This window comes from Homo sapiens, chromosome 9, assembly GCF_000001405.40.
Source record: "Homo sapiens chromosome 9, GRCh38.p14 Primary Assembly".
Lineage (NCBI taxonomy): Eukaryota > Metazoa > Chordata > Mammalia > Primates > Hominidae > Homo > Homo sapiens.
In genome coordinates, this window is record NC_000009.12 from 79,721,335 (window position 1) to 79,732,011 (window position 10,677).

At 40.1% G+C, this 10,677-nt stretch overlaps 1 protein-coding gene across 49 annotated transcripts in view, besides 1 other annotated feature; it reads left to right on the plus strand.

Moving 5' to 3' along the window:
- The window catches only part of TLE4 (TLE family member 4, transcriptional corepressor), a 154,918-nt gene extending 149,370 nt beyond the window's left edge, over positions 1 to 5,548 (plus strand). For all 49 annotated transcript variants that reach the window (NR_104239.2, NM_001282760.2, XM_011518952.2 and 46 more), the window contains 4 exons: positions 407 to 554; positions 1,117 to 1,267; positions 1,625 to 1,701; positions 3,703 to 5,548. Coding sequence is in view for 48 of the 49 variants with exons in the window: in NM_001282760.2 (NP_001269689.1) it covers positions 407 to 554; positions 1,117 to 1,267; positions 1,625 to 1,701; positions 3,703 to 3,810 (484 nt within the window). In the remaining variant the exon portion in view is untranslated. The remainder of the gene's footprint in view (positions 1 to 406; positions 555 to 1,116; positions 1,268 to 1,624; positions 1,702 to 3,702) is intronic.
- Positions 9,916 to 10,417: an enhancer, noted in NCBI's record as "NANOG hESC enhancer chr9:82346165-82346666 (GRCh37/hg19 assembly coordinates)". NCBI's record gives its function as "activates a minimal SCP1, AML or CMV promoter by ChIP-STARR-seq in naive H9 embryonic stem cells {active_cell/tissue: H9 hESC(naive)}" and the evidence as "EXISTENCE:reporter gene assay evidence [ECO:0000049][PMID:30033119]".

Genomic DNA, 10,677 nt, shown 5'->3' on the forward strand with positions numbered 1-10,677 from the left:
GTGCCATCCCCAGTCCTTCTTTAAAGGGAAAATTAAATTCTCTCTCCCTCATACCACAGTAATAGAATAGGTCTCAGAATATATCTTTAGTTAGTGCATATATGTGTAGGCGTGTTTTCTTTTGTTAATTTCAGAGATTTTTTTCCCATTAGTAATATCAGTCATGTTTTCATGAAAAAGTAATTTGAGGAATTCCTAAGTATTCAAAACCAAGCAAAAAGTACAGGACATGTGGCATCTCTTTGTATATGCTTTGTTATTACTTTGAATAATTAGAAACCATAATAAACCAAAATGAAATCTACAAATAAGGCCTGCATTGAAATTGAATCATCAAGGAATTCTAAATTGATTTTAACTAAAAGCTAACTTTTCAAGGGCTTTCCCTCCATTTTGACATTTTCAGGCAATTCCAGGGCCACACAGATGGAGCCAGCTGTATTGACATTTCTAATGATGGCACCAAGCTCTGGACAGGTGGTTTGGACAACACGGTCAGGTCCTGGGACCTGCGCGAGGGGCGGCAGCTGCAGCAGCACGACTTCACCTCCCAGGTATGATCCGTGGCTGAGGCATTTTAAAGATACGGTTTTAGGCTGAGGTGGGCGGATCACCAGGTCAGGGAATCGAGACCATCCTGGCCAACATGGTGAAACCCCATCTCTACTAAAAGTACAAAAATTAGCTGGGCATGGTGGCATGTGCCTGTAGTCCCAGCTACTTAGGAGGCTGTGGCAGGAGAATCGCTTGAATGCGGGAGGCAGTGGTTGCACTGAGCTGAGATTTTGCCACTGCACTGCAGCCTGGCGACAGAGCAAGACTCTGTCTGAAAAACAAAAAAAAACAAAAATGATACGGTTTTATGAAACATATCACCTACTGAAAGAAGAGGCAGTTCACTTACCGTGTGATGATGTCACTTTTGACTCTGGATTAACCACTTTGAAGTCTCATTACTTTGAAATCGCCCATTTGACTTTGGTTCTCCCCTGTACAATTCAAATTATCTTGATTTTCTTCATAATTTAAGTAGTATCTACAGAAGAGATAGTACCTCCCAGATAAAAGAAGCGTGTCCACTGTGGCCACTGTCACCATCACCTGTTTTAATTCTAGATCTTTTCTCTGGGCTACTGCCCAACTGGAGAGTGGCTTGCAGTGGGGATGGAGAACAGCAATGTGGAAGTTTTGCATGTCACCAAGCCAGACAAATACCAACTACATCTTCATGAGAGCTGTGTGCTGTCGCTCAAGTTTGCCCATTGTGGTAAGCAAGCACCTTTTGTCCATTTTCTGTCAACCAGAATTGCTCCTTCCCCCTTCCTGTGTTTTTATTTCCAAGTCGAATCCTTGAGTTCATTACCATGCCCCTCTTCAGAATTCTATTACTTCCTGATACATGCCTGCTTCCCCAACACCATGTAATTTTCTGGCATTAATCCACTTTAACCTTAAGGATTAGTGACTCGATTAAATCCAGAAAGATAGGCTTTATTTTTGAAGTGAAAGTTATTTTTTACAAATGGATGAGTTTTCTGTTAATAGTTTGGTGTTCTATAAAGCAAATCTTGGTGTCTGACAGAGTAACACAAACATTGCCTTTTTCAAAACCCTTTACCTATAGGCAAATGGTTTGTAAGCACTGGAAAGGACAACCTTCTGAATGCCTGGAGAACACCTTATGGGGCCAGTATATTCCAGGTAACATGGAACTTGTTAACTACCACTTATGTTTGTTTAATCAAACTCTCTGTGCATTCTCTCAGATTAATAATGTGCAGAAGTGTCCTGGGAGGTCAGAGCTAGTATTATGCACATTGTACAGAGAAGGAAACTGTGTCCAAGGAGAGGTTAAGTGTCACAGCAAAGCCGTGGAGCTGGGGATAGTCCCCAGTGTTCTGAGCTCAGAGCCAGTGCTGTGCCTGATTCAGTGCTCACTGTTGCTTCATCATCAATCCCTTTTTGGAGTAGAGGTTTTATGTCTTCTGAGAATTTTATACATGTATGTCTTTTGTAATTTTTAATTTTAAAACTTGAGCATTTTGCTTAAATACACTCTTGTTAGTAGTAGTAGTTTTTTTATTTTATTTTTTCCAAAGAAGAGTGTTATGGAAAAGTTTGATAAAAATCAGTTTTATAAACTTTTATTTTCCCTATTGACTCAGTGGAACTTTGTATAGCTTGTGAAATTATTTGTAGAAGGACCAAATTGTAGACATAGTACACATATATGCACGCGTGCACACACACGCTCTCCTCCTCTCTCCTACTGGTATGTGAGAATTTCATAGGCAAGGTGAAAGACTTGCCTTTATTAACCTTCTATATTTAGGATGTTATTTCCTAGTGTTCTTTTTTACAAGCAATATAATAGACTTGCAGTTTTCTTGACCAAGTGGTATTATCATAAAGTAGATTAATTCCATCGAATCCAAAATAGTATGCAAGATAATCAGTAGGACAAAAAACGCCAATTGTTGCAGTCATGAAGCTTAGAATTTAATAGAGCATTTTTCATAACATGGATTATCACTTGTTAGATAGTCCCAACTGCACTTTAAAAAAAGAGTAGTACATTTTTTATAGTAAGCATAAGTACTATGTCTTTAAGTGTTTAAAGTATTCAGAGTCCTGGTTAAAATCCTGTGTTGTTTTCATTTTAAATGAGCACAGTTTAGTTAAAAGTTAACATTGAATCCTTCATACTACAGTTGAATATGGTATACAAAATTCTATGGTATGTTTTTAACTGTTGAACCTCTCCCCTCTCGCAAATTTGTGTCACATTTTTACAGTGGGAACATTAGGCTTTTTACTAGGAATATTTTTACATTCTTTTTTTTTTTTTAATGTATTCTCAGTGCCATTTCTCATATCTGATCTCACTGAACTCTGCTGCATCCCTCTGAGGTGGTAGACAGGTAAAATGTCTACCTGTTTGCTATTGTAAGGAAACTGAGGTGCAGACAGGTTAAGTGACCTGTGCCGTGTTCCACAGCTCAACCTGACTCCAAGCCATCTGTTTGAAGTTGAGGGTTTTTCATACCAGTAACACCCCGTCTTAATGGTAGAATAGGGTTTGAAATAAGGTCTTGCTTTGCCAGCAGAGGTGCTCATGCCATTGGCTTGCCTGCCTAGCTGATGTCCCCAGGACAGAAGCCTCCTGACTGACCTGGTGAGGTGTCGCCAAGGGTGGATCCGATCCACCTCTGCCATTTTAAGAAAGTGCCACGTGGTGGCTCATGCCTGTAATCTCAGGCATAATTTGGGAGGCCAAGGCAAGAGGATCTCTTGAGCCCAGGAGTTCGAGACCAGCCTGGGCAACTTAGTGAGACCCTCTCTCTACAAAAAAAGTTTGAAAATTAGGTGTGATTGGACACATCAGTGTCGTAGTCCCAGCATCTCAGGAGACTGAGGTGGAAGGATTGCTTGAGCTCAGAAGGTCGAGGCTACAGTGAGCCATGGTCACACCACTGCACTGCAGCCTGAGTGACTGAGGGAGACCCTGTCTTATTAAAAAAAAAAAAAAAAAAAAAAAAAAAAAAAAGCAGCAGTACTGTCCATGACCACCTTTCACCTTTCCTTGACTGGGCTTTCTGTTTGGTCAAGGAGCACATTACATTTGCATTTGCTCTAAGTCCTCCATACTCATGGGATTTTCTTTCAGTATTTAACATTTTTGATTATATGTTTCTTTCCTAGTCCAAAGAATCCTCATCGGTGCTTAGCTGTGACATCTCCGTGGACGACAAATACATTGTCACTGGCTCTGGGGATAAGAAGGCCACAGTTTATGAAGTTATTTATTAAAGACAAATCTTCATGCAGACTGGACTTCTCCTCCTGGTAGCACTTTGCTCTGTCATCCTTTTTGTTCACCCCCATCCCCGCATCTAAAACCAAGGATTTCAGATACTCATTGCAGTTGTGGAGTTTAATCCCCTTTCTTAACCTCACTTCCCACTTGCTATTGAATTGTGAATAGTCATTAAAAACCTGTGATACCAAATCTTCAGCTGTCTACTTGGAAGAACATGGAATAAGCATACTTAACAGTGAAAAGAATCTTTAATTATGTATTATATCTGTAATATATTTATTTTGTTTAAAGAAGGCTTTCTAACAATGACTGACTAAATAAAGCTGTCTGCTCCTGCATTGATAATGAAGGTGCGTTGTATTTGATACCCCTCCCCCCCTTTTTTTGGCAAAGGAGGGGAAAGGAAGGTTTAAAATAATTGATTTAAAATGTCACTAAGTGTAGACTGATGACTGTATAGAGATGTGAAATGTATAATTACACATGGAAGCAATATGTTGCTGTGTTGTTATTAGGTTTTTTTTGTTTTTGTTTTCTACATCTTTTAAAGACTTTTGGAAATTTGGCTGAACAATTAGAACACAACAGGCCAACTCATACTCATTTGGATCTATTTAGACAACGTTAACCAATATATCTATAGCTTTAGATTATATTCGATAAAAGTAATTGGACTTTTTTTCTTTTTTTGACTCGTTGACAAGTGTCTTTGTAATATGTTTTTAGTTCCCTTTTTTTGTTGTATTATAGGCAGATGAACAAATTAAATTTGGCCTCAAAGAGAGAACTTACTCCCTTCTGGATATTTTTGCCACATTTCTTTGCAAAAGGAGATATATATATCTTTAGTCAGTTTTGTTGTTATGAGAAATTATGGGTTATTTTGTGGCATGCTCTTTGGGAGCTGCACAGTTATGGGGAGGACTCCCACTGCTGTGCAAGTTAAGTCTTTTACAAAACAAGGACAGCAGAGGAGGGTTTGCAGAGACCTCCCTCTGAAAAACACAAAGAATGGACTCTCTCCTGGGATGAGGACTTGCTTTCTTTACCTCCGGTTCTTTCCATGTCTTAGTTGGATGTCCCTGAAATGGACACAGGCTGTGCCATTGTGCCAGAAACATTGTGTTATCTTTTATGTTGTTGTTGTTGCTGTTAAACTATAATATGTGACTTCTTTTTTTATTATTTTTTGTTTGAATGCTTTAAAAATCTTTTAAGTCTGTGGATCTGCTGATGTACAGTGCCTTTGCTGCTATGGATCAAAATCAAAAGAACCGTGTAGATATACTTTATTGTATAAGTAGAAAATTACTTAATTTCATACTAGAAATGGATGGATGCTGCAAGTTGAAATGGACTGTCCATTGACGTTCCTAATGTGGTAGCAGAAAAAAAAAAATGGTGTCTTAAGTGCTTAGTGTTTGATGTCATTAACAGTTTCGTAAAACTCTACAGTGTAGAAAGATTTTGATACTAAACTGTGCGTTGTACATAGTTCTAATGCATTGTATTGACCACCAGTACTTCTATAATGGTAGATTGTTTGTGAATTCAGACTTTTAAGCATTAAACATAAATAACTTCTAGTATGCTTATTTTTCTAATTCTTTGTCTTGATGACATTAGTTTATTTTTTATCTTTGGCTGTGCCACTCCTATATATTAAAAATGCCTAGTTTTTTCAAGGGAGATTGTTGTTAAAGTAAAGTGGTTTTTTTTGTTGTTAAAGTAATGTGGGTTTTTTTCACTGTTGCTGTTTTTGTTTTGGTTTTGTCTTTACTTGAGAGGAGCTAGAAAAGGTAGGTGATAGAAGTTAACAGTGACCAGTTGGTGCTAAATATTTATTGAGTACCTCTTTGATTTATAAAAATACTGCTTACCAAAAGGTTATCATGTCCCTCAAACCCTTGATGCTTTAGAGCTATGCTGTTCAATATGGTTACCCTAGGCATTTGTGGCTCTTTAAATTTATTAAAGTTAAATAAAACTAGAAATCTAATTTACCAGTCACACAAACTACATTTCAAGTGTCAAGTAGCCACATGTGGCTAATGGCTACCGTATTGGACTAGACACATCAACACGGGCTTTAAGTTAGCCAATGTAAACCATTGCCAGCCATGTGGATTTGGGAAGCATTTCTAGCATAACACACTGAGGTCTTTACACCAGGCTTCTTGGGCTGCTACTGGTTGGGTGTATGAAGATTCAGTATAAAGAGGAGTTTAAATTAAGAATTCTAAAGTGCTGGGACTCAAAAATCCGACATTTTAAGGTTCTACTAAGTAGGAGGATTGGAAGCCCCACAGTAGTCTGGAGGGATCATCTATAAGAGATACTTCGGTTGCTGAGTTAAGTACAGTATTCATCAGTTGGACTGGAAGCCGCACTTCCATTGTGATACCATGTGCGTTGTTACATCAAATGATGACACACAAGTCATTGAAGGCTGGCTGAAAAATTAAAAACCATAAAAAACATGGGGGTAAGTGATCATCTTCAAAGATGTGTCCCTAGACAGGATGATGGAGTTTATGTTGGACTGGGAAGGAATAATCTTCAATATCTGCTATGTACAGAGCACTGTACTGGCTTATATTACATATTTTATATATATACGTATATATAATATATACATACAATATTAGCCACCTACCCATTATCTCAGGTTTTTCACAGCTTGTGTACCTATATGGTCCAAAGATTTGGAAACCCTAAGGGAAAAGCAAGTCTGAGGAAGGTACTAATGCATCGAGTATATCTGTACACACTGGAAGACTGGGGGCGTCTGGAGTAAGAGGGAGGTGATTATCTAGGTAAGGCACAGAGCAGAGTTGTCCATGTGGACCGACACAGTGGACCACACATTGTCCTAATAACATCTGAGCTCTGGGTGGCTTTGGAGAGGAAAAGCTGGTGATCCCTCATAGAGTGGCAATCCCAGGGTCTGGACGGCAGCATCACCTGGCCTCCGAGAGCTTGGATTCCCCTCCCCACATGAGACACTGCATCCCCTTCCCGACAGCAGGGATTGTGTGAACTTTCTCCTCTAGTGCCCAGCTATATATAGTAGTAGCATATATATATAGTAGTAATCTTTGCTGAATTGGGCAGATTAGGAGGGTAGTGAGCATAGAAATGTAAGTTCTTCCCACTTTTAAAGTATTCCTCCATTAATTCTTGTGTAACGTTATTAAAAATGTTTAAAAGATGAGAGAGCTTTGGAGTAAAATAGCTTTGGCACAAAAGTATGACACATGCACAGTGCACCTCTAGAAGGTGGAACGTGCCTGTCTCAAGGGGTTGGAATTCCTTTTGGGTATCTGATGGGTGAAGTCTGTGATGCCTTTAGTTATCTTTAGAGAAATCCAAAACATTGGCTGTTGAATGGAATAAAAAACTGAGATGAATGCATAGATTTAACTTTTTTAGACAAGTGGGCATCTATTTCCTTTCACTGCTAATGTATTACCAAATTAAATTTTTAGGTCTATATATAAAGCTCAGCCCTGGCTTGATGTGCACAGTCTTGATGTTCTTGATGTTGTAATTATAATGTTAAAAGTAATTGCTTAAACTTGGTTTTTAGGTTACCATAGTTTTTGCTTCAAATGTAGTCTTGCAGAGTCTGAAGAAGAACAAAGATGGGAATCTCCCTGAACCAGGGAAAGCTTAGTTTCAATGAGAGAAGACAGCAGAACTCTCAGGACACTACAAGGAAACCCAGAGTAAGGAAAGCATCATGACCTTCCTAAGATTGGCGGGTCAAATGGAGAGTGACAGAACCTAAGTCCTTAGAGTATTTATGGATACACACCTCGCTTTGGGCCACTCTTTAGCAATATGGCTTCATAGTCTGAGGTGCAAGAGATCCAGCTTTGTCCTAAAACAGTGTATGTTGGAACCTTAGCTGCAGCCTCAGAATACCTGCAAGTGGTTGGAAATTACACAGCCTTGGGATATCCAAAAACTTGGTTTCAAACCATCACACACAACCATGTAATTCTGGGTTCCTGCAGCCAAAAGCAGGGGAAATTGATGTTCTTCAGCCAGAAGTAGTATTCTGGATAGAGGTGCTGTGCGCATGCTAGCCTTATAAATATCCTCAACTGTCACCTTATCTACTTCTAGACATGCCTCAATCTGGAAAGTTTTACAGTTGTGCTGTCCTAGAAGCAAAGTGTCCAACTTAAGGTATTTGTTGATTGATATTTTTGACAGTTTTATGGAAATTTGTTCTGAGATTCCGTGTCCAGTGTTGAGTAAGCAATTACAAAATTATGAAGATGTCAGTGCCAAAAAAATTATTTATTTGATATTCTTGGATGCTCATATCCAAAACCACCAGCTGCTGCAACTTGCAAAGAGGCATTCAACAAGCTCCAAGGTCCTGCGCCCAACAGTTTCTCACTGTGGCAGCAGCTCATAACGACCCCTGTTCTTTTGAGCTAATTGCATTTATCTGCCTTTTGGTTGAAACTTACATTCAGAACTAACAATGAAAATGGCTTATTTTTGATGACCTGAGCATATTAGAAAACCTCTCATGTATTAGAACATTTTAAGAGTAATGCTATCAAGATAGAACTCTTACCTTGCAAGCAGTTTAGTTTGCATTTTTGGCAGCCTGTGATAGAATCTTGTGGGTCCCAGAAAGGAATTCACAGGAGACTCTAGTTTACCTGTCCTCAGGGAAAGAAAATTCTCGGCTAAGACTTCAGATATTTGGCCTGCAGAGAGTTCCCACAGGGTTGCCTTTAGTCCAGAGGAAAATGATGAGCACAAGTGTTTTCATGAAAGTTGTCCCATTTGATCTCACTGCAGGCCTAGCCAGGGTGGACGCTAGAATCCTGAATTTACACACAAGAGCACCAAGGATCGGAGGAGAAAGGTGTTTACCCAAATCCGTTATCTCCCGGGGGTACAAGCTCAAGGCTCCTGACTTGTGGTCCAGAATTCTGTACTGTCTGTCCAGCATGGCAGGTTGGAACACGAAATGAAGGATTCAAGACACTTCATTGCTCTTTGTCTCTCAGTTTCACACAAATTAACTGGCTTCTGGTTTCAGCATCACAGAACCTTTTGACAACTCTTGAAATCAATCACAAATTGTCTTCTTTGTTCCTGTGCTGTGTGTTCCCACTGTGGACTGAATGTGGTACGTACAATGCAGATACCCACTCGCGTGTGAGTAGATGTCCCCTGTATGCGCGACCCTTGGCATCTGCTGCAGGGAGCCCATTAACTTCACCCTGCGGGGTGATGAGAACATTGGGAAGGTTATTTTGGAAGAAGATTTAAACTCACATAAATGTCATATTTGACTTGGGTCTAGCAAAATACACACACGAAGGTACTTACGAAGTAGTTAAGTTGTTGAAAATTTAGGCAGCAGAATTTTGGGACTCTGTTTAGGTAGGATCTAACGAAACTCATGCCCTAGTGTTTCTGGATGGCCCTGCATTTCTCCCTAGACTTACGGAGCAGTTGGCCATTACCCAGTCTCCACTAGACACCCCCCCTGCCTCTTCCAAGAGGAACTACCATACTTGGTACCCTGGCTGTATCTTATGTGGCAGAAAGTATGAGATGAGCTAGGGAACTTTTTATTCTCAGGAGGCTGGGAAGTTGCAGGAGAATGAATGAGTGGTGGGAACTGAGTCAAGGGTGAAATGCAGGCATTGTGACCATGAGGGCTCCATGAAGGAAGACTGTCAGACCAAGCTTGTGTCCTTCCTCCTCGTCCCAGCAGCACAGGGACTGGGAGAGATACTAGCAGGAGGCACCACAAGGGCAGGAGTGAGACTCCAGGACCACTGTGCTGCAAGCACTGTTCCTTAAGATGACTTCCCATTGCTTGAAGAACTTCAGTTGGACGCCTCTTTGCCCTAGAAGAGTTGAGTTTAAACAAATACCTATTCACTTAAACACCTGTTAGGGGTCAACTTTGGATAATGTACCAAATGCAGAGAAGCCTGTTACTGCCGAGAATAAAGCATCCCTCTCAGAAGTCAGCTGGTCCTTCCCAGATACGTGAAAACAAGACTTTGTTTCTGGAGTAATTGAAGAAATCAACCGTTAAACCTTGCTCTTAAATCTCCGTCAGAGATTCATAGCCCCTTTCATGTTTCCTCTGAGTAGGCAATCAGTGTTAATGAAATGTGATTTCAGGTTTTATGGCTGAGTCAGGAAATTCAAAGTTATGGTTTCCACGCTGATGGTTATCCCACCACCACCTGTGCAGCTGTAGGAATCCAGGTTTTAGTATGGGCAAGAACAGCCTCCTGGGCACAAGAAGGTTGTAAAGGTTACTTTGAGAACAAAGGCCTTGATTTGCAGACACTTGTTCCTGAGTGATGGTCTTAAAAACAAAGCATAAAGTGCCCCTAATAAGAAGGTTAGTGGTGACTCAAGCTGACAGAAAGTGAAAGGATTTAACTACAATCCCTGAGGGGTAGACTTACACATTTTTGAGTCACCTTTGCATTTACCTTGAGAGGCTCTGCGTGAGGTGGTTGGCTTGTGCTTTGCAGACATCCTGCTTTGTATGCAGCATAGACTTCGAGCAGGAGACTTAGCAACCAGACTTCCAGCTCAGCTCTTCCAACTTCAGCACACAGCATTTGCAGTGTGTGCGTGTGTGTGTGCGTGTGTGTGTGCACTTTTCTTGCCAAAGATTTGCTCATGCACAAATTACAGAATACAGCGTTATGGTGTCTTTTTCATATTTCATACCACTAGGTTTCTAGAACTCATTAAATTTATAATCTGACCTCAGACCTGCAGGAGAGAATAAGATAAGGCAATCTGGTGTTGTCCAAGCTTACAAAGTTTCATCTATTTAAATTGTTAAAAAA